The 19,646-nt window shown below is 38.1% G+C and overlaps 3 annotated features.

The window, feature by feature from the left end:
- Window positions 12,529–13,071: an enhancer, noted in NCBI's record as "OCT4-NANOG hESC enhancer chr4:92550289-92550831 (GRCh37/hg19 assembly coordinates)". NCBI's record gives its function as "activates a minimal SCP1, AML or CMV promoter by ChIP-STARR-seq in primed H9 embryonic stem cells {active_cell/tissue: H9 hESC(primed)}" and the evidence as "EXISTENCE:reporter gene assay evidence [ECO:0000049][PMID:30033119]".
- Window positions 15,339–16,177: an enhancer, noted in NCBI's record as "H3K27ac hESC enhancer chr4:92547183-92548021 (GRCh37/hg19 assembly coordinates)". NCBI's record gives its function as "activates a minimal SCP1, AML or CMV promoter by ChIP-STARR-seq in naive H9 embryonic stem cells {active_cell/tissue: H9 hESC(naive)}" and the evidence as "EXISTENCE:reporter gene assay evidence [ECO:0000049][PMID:30033119]".
- Window positions 17,858–18,698: an enhancer, noted in NCBI's record as "OCT4-NANOG-H3K27ac-H3K4me1 hESC enhancer chr4:92544662-92545502 (GRCh37/hg19 assembly coordinates)". NCBI's record gives its function as "activates a minimal SCP1, AML or CMV promoter by ChIP-STARR-seq in naive and primed H9 embryonic stem cells {active_cell/tissue: H9 hESC(naive and primed)}" and the evidence as "EXISTENCE:reporter gene assay evidence [ECO:0000049][PMID:30033119]".

Raw genomic sequence — 19,646 nt, 5'->3', positions numbered from 1 at the left:
GGAAAAATATTTATTCTCTCTTCAGTTTTGATTCTCTCTTCAGTTTTGAATGAATGAATACATAAAATTCATTTTCAAACTATGCCTGCTTTCTCTATCCCTGCTATAAACTTTTCTCTTGCAGCATTTAAAATTAGTTGCAGTGCAGCCTAGAAATTTTACTCTAAAGAATGCTCTTCTGTCTTTTCTCCTTCTTTGTTTCCTGCAAGAAAAACCTTAGAAAGATGAAAGTGAATAATGATGGCATTTTTTATTTGTGTTTTAAAGGGAGGGTAACTCTTCATGCAAGTCCATTTAGTAAAAATTTACATGATGGAAAATGAGGAATAAACTACTGCTTTTCTGCATCATGAAATCCATGTACTGTTTTATGCAGCTGTAAAATAGATGACCGCTTTCCATAATCCACACGGATGCCAAGCACATCTACATAGTACCCACTTGCTCCCAAGTGTTTAGAATCCCACTTGAGCAAGCACTGGGAAGAGGAATCTGAATTCATGTTCCTTAAAGATGTATCTGGCCTCTGTGCTCTAGCAGAATCCTGCTCTGGGAATGGAAATGTACATTCTAGAGAAAGCCTGATTGTTAGGAGGCAAGCTAATTTTATTAAAACCATTTTTATCTCCCTCTTGCTTAAAATAAGTAAAAACATTATTTCAAAGTCTGAGCAAAGCCTATCAATCTTCCTTAATTAGTTTAAGAAAAATGTCTATATCACTGAAATAGAAAAGTAACTATCAAATTACTCCATTTGGAAACAGATATATGCAAATTCCTCTCCCAAAAGGTGTGATCAAATTTAAACCAAATAGGGCATCAATATTGAAGTTTTATTTTTTAATTTTATTTAATTTAAATACCATTAAAATATTGATCTCCATTACACGTGTCTGTATGTATTATTAGTGTTTATTTCCTAGATTTGTTGTAAAATTTCATTTGTTTCTGCCAATGTAGCCTTGCCCACATAACTTCTAGATATTTTCTCACTTAAAACTACACATTACTATCTCCATTTTATAGAGGGTAAACCAAGGTATAGACAAGCTGTGTTTCTGCCTAAGCAAGTAAGTAGTGAAGTCAAGAGTTCAACCAGACAAGTTGGTTCAAGAGTTTGGGAAAAACAAGATAATCTCTATCAAATGCATTGGCAAATTAAAATTGGTACTGCTTTTGAATATGGCCATACTGTATATTACACACTCCAAAAATATTTCCTTAGGAAAAATAAATCTATGGTATTTTTGAAGATATTTTTATAAAACTTTTTAAGTGCTGCATGCTAATCAGCAAATCATTATAAGCTGTGAAAAGAATCAAATAATTTAACCTGGTGACATACTTTGAATGGCTGGTACTAGATGAAAAACATATAGGCATCATATTGCTAATTTGAAAGTATTTCATTGTGAATAAGTCGGCTTGCTTAGGGGCTTATGAAAATACTATATGGAGGAAATCATTGATTTCCCATTAAGATAAGCTATGAAGGTACAAATATTTAGCCTATGACTTAAACATACATTCCTTCCATTTTGTTGACATTGAGTAAAAGGTTAACAAAGTGTCTTACTGTTGAAGACTAGATTTTTAAAATCATAATTTGAAAAACGGAATCCAATCTCTCTATCTCAAGCATACTAGCCATTTCTCCAACCTGAAACACTTTATACTCTCCTCAATGTCAAAATTCAATCTCTCTAATCTTCGAATTTTTGTTTTACATTCCCTTTCCTCTCATAAATATCCCCAGATCAATACTGCTAAGATTCACAATAAAAATTAATACAAACATTAGCACTCATCTGTACATAAAGTCTCAAGATTCTATGGTAGTAGTCAAAGGTTATATAACATGTCCTATGATCTATCTTTGTCAGTAGACTCTAAGCTACTTTATTTTTTATTGTTATCATTTTTATTATTTTTTTAGATGAAGTTTCACTCTTGTTGCCCAGGCTGCATTACAATGGTGCAATCTTGGCTCACTGCAACCTCCACCTCCTTGGTTGAAGCGGTTCTCCTGTCTCAGCCTTCAGAGTAGCTGGGATTACAAGTGCGCACCACCATGCCCAGCTAAATTTTTTTGTGTTTTTAGTAGAGACGGATTTTCACCATGTTGGCCAGGCTGGTATCAAACTCCTAACTTCAGGTGACCTTCCCACCTAGGCCTCCCAAAGTGCTGGGGTTACAGGCATGAGCCACCATGCCCAGCCTCTAAGCTACTTTAAAACAAGAATCCAGGCTCCTATTTCCTTTAAAAATTAACCAAAGAACTGGTATAGCACTTATATGTCACAATTATGCTTAAAAGAAAACAGGTATCTTCCAAATGAACTAAAAAATGGGAAAACTCTCCCCATGTCCTTACATACTCCCTATTTCCCTTCTCATCCAGTGCACCACTGAAATTTATAAGTGAATTACAATATTCTTTTCTACCTCCGTATTGATCTTGCATCTCTTAAAATAGAACTAGAAACTTACATTCTTGAAATGTTCCAACTAAACTAGGCTTGAGCCAAAATATCATACAATCTTTTCAATGATATGATTACTAAAATTTATCTAATTTAAGTTGATGTTAACTTAAAGACACATTCTCATTTTGGTGATATTAAAATATGAAATAAGCATGTCTTATAATTGAAGATAAATATTAGCTCTCTTTTGTAGATTAATTAGTACACATTATATAGAACATTGTTTTCCATAGTGTATACACATATATGTTAAATATATATTTAAGTTATATACTTAATAAACTATATTTACTTACATTACTATATTTAGTAAACTGTAGTTAAATTGTATATTATCTATCAAGTTATATATAACCAGATAACATTATAAACAAATATGAGAATGCCTGTATCTTTTTATTAATTACAATTTAAAAAGAAATCACTTATAATATGTTATCCATCTTTATAAGCAAAATGAAAATTATGTTATATGTGATATCCACAATTAAGATTTTTTTTCTCTCAGAAACATTCCTGTAAAAATGGTAATGAGTTTTACTTTTTTAAGAATAATAAAGTTTAACCAATAAAATCATTGAATATGAGCTACTATTATATTTTTCCAATCAAATATACCAGGCTATAAAATAAATACTTCAATAAATTATTAGTAAATACCTTTACTTCAGAAATTCTATGTTATTTCAATATAAGACATGAACATTTTATTGTCTACCTCATATATTTGGATAATTTGGCACAGCTTCATGAAATATATTTTCTTGATTTAGGAAACAAATTTTCTTTACCTGGAAAACAATTATTCTTAATACAGCAATTGTATATATTTGTAGAGCTTCATCCTTAACCTGATGCAAATTTTTGCTTGAATGTCACCCTTAAAAAATAATAGTCTTTTTTAAAGCAGTTTAAGGTTTACAGAAAAATTGAGCAAAAAGTACAGTATATACTTCCTATCCTCCCTCAACTATCCCCTTCCTGACTTCTCCAGCTACTAACATTTTGCATTACTGTGGTGCATTTGTTACAACTGATTAACTGTTATCTGTATCTTATTATTAACTACAGTCCATAGCTCGTATTCGTGTTCACTCTTTGTGTTGTGCATTTTATGGATTTTGATAAATGTATAATGACATGTATTTGCCATTATAGTAGATTACATAGACATTACACATTAACATTATTAATGTTAATTAAACATCACACAGAATAGTTTCACTGTCTTAAAAATGCCCTATGCTCCACCTATTCACTGCTCTCTCCCTTCCCCAAAGTCACTCATCCTTTTATTGTCTTCATAGTTTTACCATTTCCAGACTGTTATGTAGTTGGAATCATATAGTAAATAGGCTTTTTGAATTGGCTTCTCTCACTTAGCAATATGTATTTAAGTGTCTCCAGTCTCTTTTTGTGATTTGTAGCTCATTTCATCACTGAATAATATTTCAGTATATAGGTGTACCATATTTTGTTTATCTACTCACCTATTGGAAGACATCTTGTTTGCTTCCAAGTTTCGACAATTATGAAGGAAACTGTTAGGGTTCATTCATGTCAGGTTTTTTTTTTTTTTTCCTGAATGTGAGTTTTCAACTCACTTGGGTAAATACCAAGAAACTCAATTATAGGATCATATGGTAAGTCTATTTTTAGCTTTGGAAGAAACCACTAAACTTTTCCAAAGTGTCATTTTCATTCCCAATGCCAATGAATAACCATCCTTGTCACTCCACATCCTCACCAGCCTTTGCCATTGAAACTAAAGGTCCCCTACCCCATCCCTCACCCAACCCTTTCACTTATTATATTACTTCCAAAAACCTTTAGATATTTGATTCTGTGACCCCTGTTCTTTACGCCATATTTCACCAATGATCTCTTCTATAAATGACATAGGTTTTCGTATTTTTTTTTTAATTTGGCCTATAGGTATTATTTTTCTAGAAAGTAATTAAGATGTATCAAAGTCACCCTGAACATTAGATGACTGAGTAGCAATATCTATATATGCAAAGCTACCATTTTCATATGCACATACCAAATAAATACATAAAATCTCATCAGCTGTTCATAAACCTATAAATTTTAGTGGGGAAAAAGTAATATTTCTGAAAATAGAACACCATTTACTACAAAAAGTGTGTTCATTTAAGTAGTCCATGTATCTTCCATATATAGTATAGAACTCACAAAATAAAAACAAAAAAATGTATTCAATCACAGAATGATTTATTGAATAATTATTGAACACATACCATAGGCCAAATACTGAACAAAGTATTGGAATGAAGAAATGTAGAGATACTAAAAATTACCTTCCCTGGAAAGCTGTGGTGCAATTTGTAATTTTCTTAGAAACCCCTGTGCCTGATTTTTTTAGATGTACAATATTAGTTGAGATTGTCACCCAAGCCTTAGGGGAATTCTCTTTATTGAGGCATTTTCCCCCTCAAACTGCATTTTTCAGTGTGTGTTTATTACCTAGCAACCAAACCATAAAAAAACGAATGTTACAACTTAGATTGATAGGGTTTCTTGGTAGCTGTAGTATAAAATATTTTTTATGATGAAACCCATAGAAATTTCCTCCACAACAACAAAGGATTTAAGAATTATTGTACAGCTTTCTCACTTTAGGAAAACACATTTCAGCTTTCAGGGATTCCTGATTGATATTCTTTGAAATACCACACTAGTAAATGATACCCTACATACTCAAATCATCTTTTTGTCTGTAGAATGATAGGCCAACATAGTATAAACCTTCTTGTGACAGATCGACTACCTCCCGTTTGTCATCAAATGACAGCATCATTTCAGATCATGGTGGAGCCTCAACAAATGTGACCAGGAAGAAACACTCACCCTGGGCAATGCTTTCTATTTGGCTTCCCCTGGATATGTGAATGATCTTGCAAAACCATTTTACTTACTTCTAAAGATGAATCCCACTCTAAAATCTGTATTATGACTCTAAACACAGTTAACATTAACCTTGAGAAGCAGTGTGCTTACAGGTCAAGACCCTCATCTCTGAAGCCAGATTGACTACATTTAAGCCATACCTCTTCACATCTTAGCTGTGTGACCTTGGATAGCTTACTACTTAGTCACTCTGTGCCTCAGTATCCTCTTTTGTAAAATGGAGAAATGATAACACCTCTCTCACAGGATTGTTTTGAGATTAAAAAAAGGTCACTAATGCAATGTGGGCATGTTACAGTAGAGCATATAGTAAATATTCACTAGACAGTAGCTATTATTATGAGATATGTTTATCCTTTTGGAATGTCACAAAAGTGCATGGGATCCTGATTCTGCTTGGTGATCTTTGCATTTAGTGTATATTGACTTCCTCCACTATCTCCAACAGTGGGCCTTTGAAAAGCTTTCTGCAATCTTCAAATCCCCAGCAGTACCTTTTACTTTCATTAGGTGACCTTCCTGCCTACCGTACTAAAACGACTGAGGTGCTCTAAAGATAAATCCTTTAGTGCCCTCTTTCCATTTAAAAATGCCTCTGGGCCATTGTGTTGCTACTCTTACTTTTCTATTGATGTTTAGGAAGAACACTCCCTCTTTCTTATCAAAGCTAACTACTCTGCTTATGCGCTTGATTTCGTTTCTCCTCTCTTGTCTGAGTTTACCAAGTGCTTACTCTCCTGTTAGCAAGGATATAGTCTGCAATTGTCCCCTAGCTGTCTCCTCTTATTCAGAGTGACTGTTATATCCAGCATTCTGGGGAAAGTACTACTTTATGCCTGTTGTAAATCAAATAGCATGGTTATTATTTGGCATCTTTTTTCACTCTCAAAAATGTCCCAGTTTGGACAATAAGTGTATAAGTTCATTCTGTTGTAGGCTACAAATACAACTATGTCTTCCTTTGCCTCCAAAACAGTCAAATATGAAAATATATTTTCCTTTAACAATATTATCTTCTCTCTGTGCAATTTCTTATGCCATTCTTTTCAGTCTTTTAAATAACTCTTCTTTATCCTCTAACCCATAAATATAGACATTATGAAATCTGATACTCATCTTTTATTCTTTCCTTTCTCATTTCTCTTCTTTCATTTTACTAACTTCAGTATTTCAATCACTTCCTGTCTGCCTGTGAAACTCCAATATATTCCTCTATTTCCAAGCACCCCACTGAATCTTGGTCCTGCATTTTCAAGTCCTAGCTGTATATCTTCCCCTGTATTTCATTTCTGTTCTTTGAGCCCACATTAGATTTTTGTTTTTTTAATGTATGATAATCAAATAGCCAGCTCCCTTGCCTCTAATGTCTTATTTCTCTCATTTAGCCTGCCTTCGCTGCCAGAATAATTTCTCAGAAACTCAGAATTTATAAAAAATAAACATCTCCAAAACCTCATCCTGAAATTCAAGATGCTTAATAATATTACCCAAACTGATTTTCAAACATTTCATTGTAGAATCACATCTGGTAGAAGATTTTATTCCTTGTGTTTGAACATACCTTGAACTGGTTTATTTTTAGCTTAATCAAATATGTTTTGGAAAGGAGACAACTAGGAGAAGAGCTTTACAGATGTATATGATAAAATACTTGTGAATTATAAGAATTTTGTACCTAGGAAATATGTGAAATCAGGGACTTTGGACAGTTAAATGTCTTAGTAATATCCAGAGCTTTGAAAAAATGGGCACTATAATTCACAAGTTGTTGTGACAGCAGACAGAGTCCTTTGTAATGTTAAAAAATGTTAACATGCTGAGTTGTACATAAATGTTTTCTGACCAGCATGTTGAGAGATGTCTAGCTGGAAAGGTTAATCATACTTCTTGATATTTATGCATAACTTGATATAGTGAATACTCAACTCCTCAGTTGGCTTTCAGGATATTATAGTCTTCTTGTTTTTCATTTACCTCATTGGCCATTTCTTCCTAGTACATGTTATTAATGTTTCCTCCCACAGTATTTACTTCTTCATTATCTACTTTTTTTCCCACAAATTACTGCTCTAGATAATCTTACCAAGTCCAGTGGTTTAAAGAGAACCTGCATGGCAAAGAATTAAAATTTACAGCTCTGACTTATCTCCTGATATCCAGGGCAATAGCATTAACTACTTCCTCAACATTTCCATTTGGATGTCTAAAAAGCTTCTCAAAATTAACAGATCCAAAAGATAAGTCTTAATTATATTGTATTTGCCAAATAAACACACAAACAAACAAAAAACCTTCTTTGTATAGTCTTACAGTTCAGTAAATGTTGCCACCTTTTTTTCAATTTTTTCAGACCAAAAGGTCAGGATTTGTTTTTAATTCCCTTCCTTCCTGCAGCTCCATATTACTTCCAGAAGAAAAATTCCTGAAAGAGCTACCTTCAATATATTAACCCAGACACCAAACAGTGCTACTATCTAGCTTAATCTACCAGTCTTTATCATCACTCTCTTCCTCATAGTAAGGTTAAGAGAGACTAGGTTTGGGAAAAAAAGAAATTTAATATAGTCACTATCAAGGCAATAAATACCTTTGGTAAGGTTGCTGAATCCAAATATACTAGCTGGCCAGTCAATGTGGTCATAAGGATGGCTGTGCCATGACGCTATAAGTGCAGGGCAATTTCTGAGGACTACTATTTTATCTTTGTTCAAAGGTAGAAGATATTGGATTGTAAAGAATAGGGTGGATCTGAGTGAGAGATAAGATGTCTCTCCTAATCTTAAAGCTGAATGAGAAGTTTGAAGTCTTGTAACAGTGGTAACTATGCCAAATCAGTGTGGTAGACTGTCACCCAGGTGGTAATAAATTCCTGTCATGTGGAAGACCCAACAATTTAGGCATTTGAGGAAGTGGACACAAATCTCAGCCTAGAATATGAAAAAAAAAAATGGGCTATTTTGGTGATCTGGGACCCAGATGATGGTTTTAAGTTCTGGAGCTTTAGTATATGCCTGTAGGGACTTGGCAGAAGTAGATGTCGAAGTAAAATGAGAAGGGGTGGTATGTGCAAATGTGGAAGGATTTACGGTTTTCATAACCTCTGGCGAGCAGCAGAAGTTAAAACAGGAGCAATCCTTTTGCACGCCGAACACACTTTAATCCATAGGCACTTTTCCAGTACGACAGAAGAGAGGAACATTATTGTGAAATATGATTAGGTTTGTGTGTTATAATAAGCAGGTCTCCAACTCCATATTTCTTTGTGTAATTTGTATGGCAGCCTTACATTCTGACCCCGGCCTTGTGTTTTTCTTGCTGTATGGACTATAACTTATGAGGTTACTTACATAGAGGCAAATGGTAAGTCTGCAAAATACCATTCTATGGGGTCATCTTTGGTGTCCTTTCCCTAGTGTATGTTCTTGACTTCACTTGGCTGTAAATATGTAGATTTATTTCTGGGTTCTCGATTCTGTTCTATTGGTCTACACATCTGTTTTAACACAAATACCATGCTAATTTGTTTACTATAGCTTTGTAGTATATTTTGAAGACATGTGATGTGATACCTCTAGCATTGCTATTTTTGCTCTTTGGGGTTTAATTGGCTTTTTGGGGTCTTTTGTGTTTCCACATAAATTTTAGAATTGCCTTTTTCTTCTATACCTGTGAAAAATGTTATTGGTAGATTTGTAAGGATTGCATTAAACCTGTAGACTGCTGTGGACAGTTAGATCATTTTAACAATATTACTGTTCTCAATTCACATGCATGAGAAGTCTTTCCATTCTTTTTGCCTTTTCAATTTCTTTCAAATGTTCTTCCTCAAGTCAAAGAAAATTTGACTTCCTCTTTTCCAATTTGTATGTGCTTTATTCTTTTTCTCTTGCCTAATTGCTCTGGCTAAGACTTCTAGTATATGCTGAATAAAAGTCGTGAAAGTGAGCATCCTTTTCTTGTTACATTTCTTAGAACAAAGGCTTTCACTATTTTATTATTCATTATGAGTTACATGTGGGTTTGTCATATTTGGCCTTTATTGTGTTGAGGTATGTTTCCTCTATGCCTAATTTGTTGACTGTTTTTATCATGAAGGGATGTTGAATTTATCAAATACTTTTTCCACATCTACTGAGATAATTACATGATTTTTATTCTTTATTTAATTGATACATTATATCACATTCATTGATTTGTATATATTGAACCATACTTACACCTTCATATGAATCCCACTTAATTATGGTGTGTTATCTTTTTTATGTGCTATTGGATTTGATTTGCTTGTGTTTTGTTGAGGATCTATGTTTATCAGGGATACTGTTCTGTAGTTTTGTTTTGTTGTTTCTTTGTCTGGTTTTGGTATCAGGGTAATGCTGGCCTTGTAGATTAGGTTTGGGAAAACTCCCCCCTCCTCTTCAGTTTTTTTGGATACTTTAATAAGAATTGGTATTAGTTTTCATTTTAAAGTTTGATAGAATTCAGCAGTAAAGCCATCCAGTACTATGGTTTACTTTATTGGGGAACTTTTCATTACTCATTCAGTCTCATTACTGATTATTAATTTGCTCAGGTTTTCTATTTCTTTATGGTTCACTCTTGGTAAATTATGTGTGTCCAGGAATTTATCCATTTACTCTAGGCTTTCACAACTGTTTGGTGTACAGTTGTTTGTAATAGTCTCTAATTATCCTTTATATAGCTGTGGTGTCAGTTATTATATATCCTTTTTCTTTTCTGATTTATTTTGGTAATCTCTCTTTTTTTTTAATCTAGTTAATGGTTTATCACTTTTGTTTATCTTTCTAAAAAAAAGCAACTTTTTGTTTCATTGATATCTTGTATTCTTTTTGTCTCTATTTCATTTAATTCTGCTCTGATCCTATTTCCTTCCTTCTACTAATTTTTGGTTTGGTTTGTTCTTGCTTATCTAGTTCCTTGAGGTACACCATTAGGTTTTTTTTTTTTTATCTAAGATCTTTTATTTTTGAGACAGAATCTTGCTCTGTTGCCCGGGCTGGAGAGCAATGGTGCAATCACAGCTCCCTACAGCCTTGAACTCCTGAGCTTATGCCATACTTCTACGACAGCCTCCTCACAAGCTAGGACTATAGGAACACACCACCACAACACCATGCCCAACTAATATATATATACATACAAATAATTACGAGATGGGGGTTTCATTATATTGTCCAGGCTGGTCTTGAACTCTTGTCCTCAAGTGATCCTCCAATTTCAGCCTCCAAAAGCAGTGAGATTACAGGCAGGAACTGTACCTGGCCAAAACATGTCTACTTTTATGATGTAGGCATTTATTGCTATAACTTTCCTTCTTAGAACTTGCTGTTTTACGCCACTGGTTTTGATATGTTGTTTCCATTTAAATTTGTTTCAAGAAAATTTTTTAAATTTTTTCTTAATTTCTTTATAGATGTGTTGGTCATTTAGGGGCATGTTGTTTAATTTCAATGTATTTGCATGGTTTCTAAAGTTCCTTTTGTTATTGATTTCTAGTTTTAATTTATTGTGATCTAAAAAGATACTAAATATAATTTTGATTATTTTAAATGTGTCAAGACTTACAGTATGACCTAAAATATAGTCTCTCCTAAATAACATTCTATGTTCTGCTGAGAAGAATGTTAATTCTATAGCTGTTGGATAAAATGTTCTATGTTTGTTAAATCAATTTTTTCCATAGTGCAGTTTAAGTCCAGTGTTTCTGTGTTGATTTTTTTAATCTACATGTTTAGTGAAATGCTGTAAGTGGGATGTGAATGTCCACAATCATTGTTCTGTTAGGGTCTATCTTTCTCTTTAGTGCTAATGACATTTGCTATATCTGGATGCTCCAGTGTTGCATACTTTTGGGTGTTGTTGGGTATTATTTATAGGTAGATTTAAAAAAATTCAGCCAGTCTATATCTTTTAATTTGAGAATTTATACCATTTATATTCAATTTTCTTATTGATAGGTTAGAACTTACTCTTGCCATTTTGTTAATTGTTTTCTGATTTTTTGGTATACCTTTTATTTCTTTCTTTCTTATTGTTCATCTCTGTGGTTTGGTGGTTTTCTGTAGTGATAGTGCTTGATTCCTTTATCTTTCTCATTTTTTATCTGTTCTACTAGTGAATTTTATACTTTGAGCATTTTCCTGATGCCAGATATGTCCTTTCTCTTCCAAATGAAGGATTCTCTTAAATGTTTCTTATAGAGTGAGTCAAGTGATGAATTCCCTTAGTTTTTGTTTGTCTGAAAAGTAATTTATTATTCCTTCATTACTTAAGTATAACTTTTCTTGGTATAGTATTATTAGATAACAATTATTTTCTTTCAACACAATAAATATACCATTTCATCCTTTCTTGGCCTGAAATATTTCTGCTGGGAAATCCATTTTTAGTGCTATGGTGATTCTCTTACATGTAACTTGACACTTTTCTCTTGCTGTTTTTAGAATTATCTTTTTGAGTCTTTGACTTTTGACCATAAAACTATAATGCACTTTGGTCAGCACCTTTTGGAGCTGACTATATTTGGGGATATTTAGGCCTCAAGTATCTAGATGCCTATATCTTCCCAAACTTGGGAAACTTGTAGCTCCAATTTCATTACATAGGTTTTCTATGCTCTTTTTCATCTTTTCTCCTTTTAGAATTAAGGAAATGTGAATATTCGTTCACTTAATATTTTCTCATATACTACATAGGCTTTTTGGTTTTATGTTTTTTTTCTGAGTTTGTTTCAAAAGACCTGTCTTCAAATTCAGATATTATTTCATCTGCTTGACTAGTCTATTGTTGAAGCTTTAGATTGTGTTTTTATTTCATTCATTAAACTCTTCAGTGCAAGATTTCTTAAATGTGGTCTCTCCTAAAGAATGGTAGAGGTTGCTGCAACCCCAAAACTGGAGACTCATCTTGATCCAAATTGCTAATCAGTGCATTGAAGTGAAATTTATAGCATTATACTCTCAACAGTCTCAAGATGCTAGCTGACCATGGACACAGCCCGTAGCATGCCCCACATGCTAGATAGCTAGTATGATAGCTGTCTCTTTGTTGAATTTTTTATGATAGCTATTTTCATGCGCGTCCATGTGAAGAGACCACCAAACAGGCTTTGTGTGAGCAACATGGCTGTTTATTTCACCTGGGTGCAGGCGGGCTGAGTCCGAAAAGAGAGTCAGTGAAGGGAGATAAGGGTGGGGCCGTTTTATAGGATTTGGGTAGGTAAAGGAAAATTACAGTCAAAGGGGGTTTGTTCTCTGGTGGACAGGAGTGGGGGGTCACAAGATGCTCAGTGGGGTTGCTTTTTGAGCCAGGATGAGCCAGGAAAAGGACTTTCACAAGGTAATGTCATCACTTAAGGCAAGGACCGGCCATTTACATTTCTTCTGTGGTGGAATGTCATCAGTTAAAGTGGGGCAGGGCATATTCACTTCTTTTGTGATTCTTCAGATACTTCAGGCCATCTGGGCGTATACATGCAGGTCACAGGGGATGCGATGGCTTGGCTTGGGCTCAGAGGCCTGACATTCCTGCCTTCTTATATTAATAAGAAAAATAAAACAAAATATTGTTGAAGTGTTGGGGTGGTGAAAATTTTTGGGGGGTGGTATGGAGAGAGAATGTGCGATGTTACTCAGGGCTGCTTCAAGCGGGATTAGGGGCGGCGTGGGAACCTAGAGTGGGAGAGATTAAGCTGAAGGGAGGTCTTGTGGTAAGGGGTGATATTGTGGGGTTGTTAGAAGAAACATTTGTCGTATAGAATGATTGGTGATGGCCTGGATACGGTTTTGTGCGAACTGAAAAACTAAATGGAATAAGAGAAGGAGAAAAACAGGTATAAAAGGTAGATATCAGCTGTGATGGCTTGGAGAAACAGTGTAAACCAGCAGTGAAAACAAGAGCAGGACATGTATGAGTAGTTGAGAACGGTGAATAGGAGTATGACTGGACAAAAGATAGTAGGGATGACAAGTTTTTTTGGGGCACAGTCTAAGTTGGTCTGTTGTCGAATGAGACTGGGGCCTAATAAAAAGGAGCATCTATACAGGAGCTTAAATGGACTGTACCTTGTAGCATTCTGAGGACAGGCCTGAATTCTGAGAAGCGAAAGTGGTAAAAGTATTGTCCAGTCCTTTTTAATTTGGTGGCTGAGCTTGGTGAGGTGTGTTTTTAAAAGACCTTTAGTCCATTCTACTTTTCTTGAAGATGGAGGACCGTAAGGGATATAAAGGTTTCGCTGAATACTAAGAGCCTGAAAAAATGCTTGGCTGATTTGACTAATAAAGGCTCATCTGTTATCAGACTGTATTGAGGTGGGAAGGCTAAACTGAGGAATTATGTTGACAGAAGGGAAGAAATGACTGTGGTGGCCTTCTCAGACCCTGTAGGAAAGGCCTCTACCTATCCAGTGAAAGTGTCTACCTAGACTAAGAGGTATTTCAGTTATCTGACTCAGGGCATGTTGAGTAAAGCTAATTTGCCAGTCCTGGGCAGGGGCAAATCCTCGAGCTTGATGTGTAGGGAAGGGAGGGGGCCTGAATAATCCCTGAGGAGTAGTAGAATAGCAGATGGAACACTGAGAAGTGATTTCCTTGAGGATAGATTTCCATGATGGAAAGGAAATTAGAGGTTCTGAGAGGTGGGCTAGTGGCTTGTACTATAGCATAGCCTGCCTTTGCTGGTGTGTGGTGATTAGGCCTGGTGGAACCGCCATCAATAAATCAAGCGTGATCAGGGTGAGGAACAGGAAAGAAGGAAATTTGGGGAAATGGGGTGAATATCAGGTGGATCAGAGAGATACAGTCATGGGGGTCAGGTGTGGTATCAGGAATAATGTGGGAGGCCAGACTGAAGTCTGGGCCAGGAACAATGTAATTGTGGGACTTAAAGAGTGAGTACAGCTGAAGGAGCTGGGGAGCAGAAAGTATATGTGTCAGGTATGAGGAAGAAAATAGATTTTGGAAGTTATGAGAACTGTAGAGATTGAGTTGAGCATAGTTTGTGATTTTGAGGGCCTCTAAAAGTATTAAAGCAGCGGCAGCTGCTGCACACAGACATGATGGCTAGGCTAAAACAGTAAGGTCAAGTTGTTTGGACAGAAAGGCTACAGGGTGTGGTCCTAGCTCTTCTGTAAGAATTCTGACCGCACTAACTATGCCTAGGAAGCAAAGGAGTTGTTGTTTTGTAGAAGGTGCTGGGGTTGAGAGACCAGTCGGACACGATTGGCAGGGAGAGCACGTGTGTTTTTATGAGAATTATGCTGAGATAGGTAACAGATGAGGAAGAAATTTGGGCTTGATTGAAGTAATGGGGGCTGTCTGTGAAGCTTTGCAGCAGTACAGCCTAGGTAATTTGCTGAGCTTGATGGGTGTCAGGGTCAGTGCAAGTGAAAGCGAAAAGAGGCTGGGATTAAGGGTGCAAAGGAATAGTAAAGAAAGCATGTTTGAGATCTAGAACAGAATAATGGGTAGTAGAAGGAGGTATTGAGGATAGGAGAGTATATGGGTTTGGCACCACGGGGTGGATAGGCAAAACAATTTGGTTGATAAGGCGCAGATCCTGAACTAACTTGTAAGGCTTGTCTGGTTTTAGGACAGGTAAAATGGGGGAATTGTAAGGAGAGTTTATAGGCTTTAAAATGCCATGCTGTAGCAGGAGAGTGATAACAGGCTTTAATCTTTTTAAAGCATGCTGCGGGATGGGATATTGGCGTTGAGTGGGGTAAGGGTGATTAGGTTTTAATGAGATGGTAAGGGGTGCATGATCGGTCACCAAGGAGGGAGTAGAGGTATCTTATACTTGTGGGTTAAGGTGGGGGGATACAAGAGGAGGATGCAAAGGAGGCTTTGGATTGGGAAGAAGAGAGGCAATGAGATACAGCTGTAGTCCAGGAATAGTCAGGGAAGCAGATAATTTAGTTAAAGTGTCTCAGCCTAATAAGGGAACTGGGCAGGTGGGGATAACTAAAAAGGAGTGCTTAAAAGAGTATTGTCTAAGTTGGCACCAGAGTTGGGGAGTTGTAAGAGGTTTAGAAGCCTGGCCATCAATACCCACAACAGTTATGGAGGCGAGGGAAACAGGCCTTTAAAAAGAAGGTAATGTGGAGTGGGTGCCTCCGTATTGATTAAGAAGGGGACGGACTTACCTTCCACTGTGAGAGTTACCTGAAGCTCAGCGTCCGTGATGGTCTAGGGGGCTTCGGAGGCAATCGGGCAGTGTCAGTCTTCAGCCGCTAAGCCGAGAGGGAGTCAGTCAGAGAGCCTTGGGCCAGAGTTCCAGGGGCTCTGGGAGTGGCTGCCAGGTGAGTTGAACAGTCCGATTTTCAGTGGGGTCCCACAAAGATGGGATGCGGCTTAGGAGGAATTCCGGGCTGCGGGCATTCCTTGGCCCAGTGGCCAGATTTCTGGCACTTGTGGCAAGCTCCTGGGGAGGAGGTTCTGGAGGAACGCCTGGCTGCTGCGGTTCAGGCGTTTGGAAGTTCTTGTGTGCTGGAGATGTGGCTGGGGTTTGTCTCACAGTGGAGGCAAGGAATTGCAACTTATTTCTATTATTGTACACCTTGAAGGCGAGGTTAATTAAATCCTGTTGTGGGGTTTGAGGGCCGGAATTTAATTTTTGGAGTTTCATTTAATTTCGGGAGCAGATTGGGTAATAAAATGTATTTTGAGAATAAGATGGCCGTTTGACATTTTAGGGTCTAGGGCTGTAAAGTGTCTCAGGGTTGCTGCCAAACAAGTCATGAACTGGGCCGGATTTTTATATTTGATGAAAAAGAGCCTAAACGCTATCTGATTTGGGATAAAGAAAAAGGAGCATTAACCTTGACTATGCCTTTATCTCCAGCCACCTTTTTAAGAGTAAATTGCTGGGCGGGAGGGGGAGGGCTAGTCACGGAACGAAACTGTAAGCCAGACCAGGTGTGAGGAGGGTAGGTGATAAAAAGATTATAGGGTGGAGGAGCAGAGCCTGAGGAAGAATTGGGATCTAGCTCGGCCTGGTGAGGAGCAGCCTGGGGAGGAAGGGAGAGGTCAGATGGGTCTGTAGAAAAGGAAGATTAGAAAGACTCAGCGAGGCTTGGGGTTGGTACTGAGGGGACAGGAGAGAGGGAAAGAAGGAAGATTTGGGACGAGTTGCACTGGGTACAGAGACTAGGAAGGGACTGATGTGTAAAAGAATGCCTGGACATCAGGCACCTCAGACCGTTTGCCTATTTTATGACAAGAATTATTTAGATTTTGCAGGATGGAAAAATTCAAAGTGCCATTTTCTGGCAATTTGGAACTATTGTCGAGTTTGTATTGGGGTCAAGCAGCATTGCAGAAGAAAATAAGGCATTTAGGTTGTAGGTCAGGTGTGCGTTGAATTTAAGTTTTTGAGAACGTAGACCAAGGGAGTAGTAGGAGGAATGGAGGGTGGAAGCTTGCCCATAGTGAAGGAAGCAAGCCTATCGAAAAGAGAGAGTAGAGAAACGGAGGGAAGGGGTTTGGGGGTTCTTACCTTCCAGAAAAGTGGGAAAAGGGGTTGCAGCTTAGAGATAAGGGTCGGGGCATGGAAATAAGGGATGGGGTGCAGAAATAAGGGGTCGGGGCACGGAAATAAGGGATTGGGGTGCAGAGAGAGGGGGTGCGGAAATAAGGGATTGGGGCACAGAGATACGAGGTTGGGGTACTTGCCCCTCCTCTAGAAAAGCGGGACTTGCCGCTAAGAATGAAGGAGAAGGGGTTGAGGCGTACTTGCCCCTCTCCCAGAAAAGCGGGACTTGCCGCTAAGGGTGAAAGAGAAGGGGTTGAGGCGTACTTGCTCCTCTCCCAGAAAAGCAGAGAAGGGGTAGAGACAAGGAGAGAAGGGTTTGGGGTACTTGCCCTGTCCCTGGAAAAGCAGAGAAGGGGTAGAGACAAGGAGAGAAGGGGTTGGGGTACTTGCCCCTTCCCCAGAAAAGCAGGACTTGCCGCTAAGGACGAAGGACCAAGGCAGGCATCCCTGCGTGGTCTGACACCCTTGAAACATGGGTGTATAATCAGAGAGGCATCCCTGCAAGGATTAAACACCAAGGGAAGGCTGCCTTCCCATTCCGTGACGAGCGCCGGAGTTTTGGGTCCACGGATAAAATGTGTCTCCTTTGTCTCTCCCAGAAAATGAAACAAATTGAAATTAAGCCCTGTCCCCAGAAAAGCAGAGAAGGGGTAGAGACAAGGAGAGAAGGGGTTGGGGTACTTGCCCCTTCCCCAGAAAAGCGGGACTTGCCGCTAAGGGTGAAGGACCAAGGCAGGCGTCCCTGCGTGGTCTGACACCCTTGAAAGGTGGGTGTATAATCAGAGAGGCATCCCTGCAAGGATTAAACACCAAGGGAAGGCTGCCTTCCCAGTGTGACTGGCGCCAGCGTTTTGGGTCCACGGATAAAATGTGTCTCCTTTGTCTCTCCCAGAAAATGAAAGGAATTGAAATTAAGGGAAGGGAGAGATTGAAGAGTGGAAAGGAGAAAGTGGTTGAGGGACAGTGAGAGAGGTTGGGGAAGAGAGTAAGAAGAGGCCGCTTACCTGATTTAAAATTGGTGAGATGTTCCTTGGGCTGGTGGGTCTGAGGACCTGAGGTCCTAGGTGGATCTTTCTCATGGAGCACAGAACAGGAGTACAGGGGATTGATCTCCCAAGGGAGGTCCCCCGATCCGAGTCAAGGCACCAAATTTCATGGGTGTCCGTGTGAAGAGACCACCAAACAGGCTTTGTGTGAGCAACATAGCTGTTTATTTTACCTGGGTGCAGGCGGGCTGAGTCCGAAAAGAGAGTCAGCGAAGGGAGATAAGGGTGGGGCCGTTTTATAGGATTTGGGTAGGTAAAGGAAAATTACAGTCAAAGGGGATTTATTCTCTGGCGGGCAGGAGTGGGGGTCACAAGGTGCTCAGTGGGGGTGCTTTTTGAGCCAGGATGAGCCAGGAAAAGGACTTTCACAAGGTAATGTCATCACTTAAGGCAAGGACCGCCATTTACATTTCTTTTGTGGTGGAATGTCATCAGTTAAGGTGGGGCAGGGCATATTCACTTCTTTTGTGATTCTTCAGATACTTCAGGCCATCTGGGCGTATACATGCAGGTCACAGGGGATGCAATGGCTTGGCTTGGGCTCAGAGGCCTGACAGCTGTCTCTTTGTTGAATTTCTGATTTACATCATAAATAATTTTGCTGATTTATTTGTATTTTGTATCTCTGTTCTCTTATGTCTCACTGAGTTTTCTTAAAATCTTTACTTTGAATTCCTTTTCAGGATTATTTTTAGGTTTCCTTTTCTTTAAGGTCTGTTAGTGAAGAATTGTGTTTCATTGGAGGTGTCATGTTTCCTTGCTGTTTCACGTGTCCTGTGTTTCTACTTTGATATCTGTGCCTCTGGTTTAACAGTCACTTCTTTCCTTTCTTAGGAAAAATATTTTTTTCTGGAGATGCATTTATAGTGTCTGCAGGGCAGGGTGCTTTGGCTTTGTTTCTGGTGAGTGTGCTATTATAGTCTTTGTATGACTTCTTCCAATGTAATCAATGTCAATGGTATCTGCATAGGCTGTAGTTGTTTTTCTAGGCTATAAAGTGGCTTTGCTGGGTCCAGGCATGCCATGCAAACTGGTCCTCAGGTACCTAGGGGAAGCACATTGGCATTCCACGGCCCTGCTGCTGGAGCAGGCAGGTTCATCAGCCATGGCAGCAATAGGCTTCAGGCAGGCCATTCCTTTTGCCACCGGGTGACACACACAGGCTTTGGCAGTAGTAGTGGTGGGTCCCATAAGTGATGTGCAGATCATCTGTGATTTCACCCTCTCCTGATCCCCCTTCTTAAATTTTACCTCCTTCTCTGCCTCATCCCTAATGCTTACTGCATTTTCACATACCTTAGTAATAAAAGTCAGAATGACAGGAGGAATCAGTGATGTGTGTTGCACACATTATTTGGTTATAAAGTTAATGTCTTTTAAATTTTTACATGTAAAAATATCCTCTGTGTCATAACAGCTTTTTCAGTTTGGCCCTTCTAAACCATCTACCATATTACTGGAAATTGAGAGAATATGTAACTTTTAGATATAAGAGCATTTCTTCTAGTTTGTTGGGTGCAGTAAGGGCTGTGTCCATGGTCAGCTAGCAACTTGACCTTGACAGTGTTAGGAATATAATACTGTAAGTTTCACTTCAATGCACTGACTGGGAATTTGGATCCAAGATGTTTCT

Source organism: Homo sapiens, chromosome 4 (assembly GCF_000001405.40).
Source record: "Homo sapiens chromosome 4, GRCh38.p14 Primary Assembly".
NCBI classification, from domain to species: Eukaryota; Metazoa; Chordata; class Mammalia; order Primates; family Hominidae; genus Homo; species Homo sapiens.
Note: the sequence above shows the minus strand (reverse complement) of the source record. Positions and strands in the feature narration are given on the sequence as shown.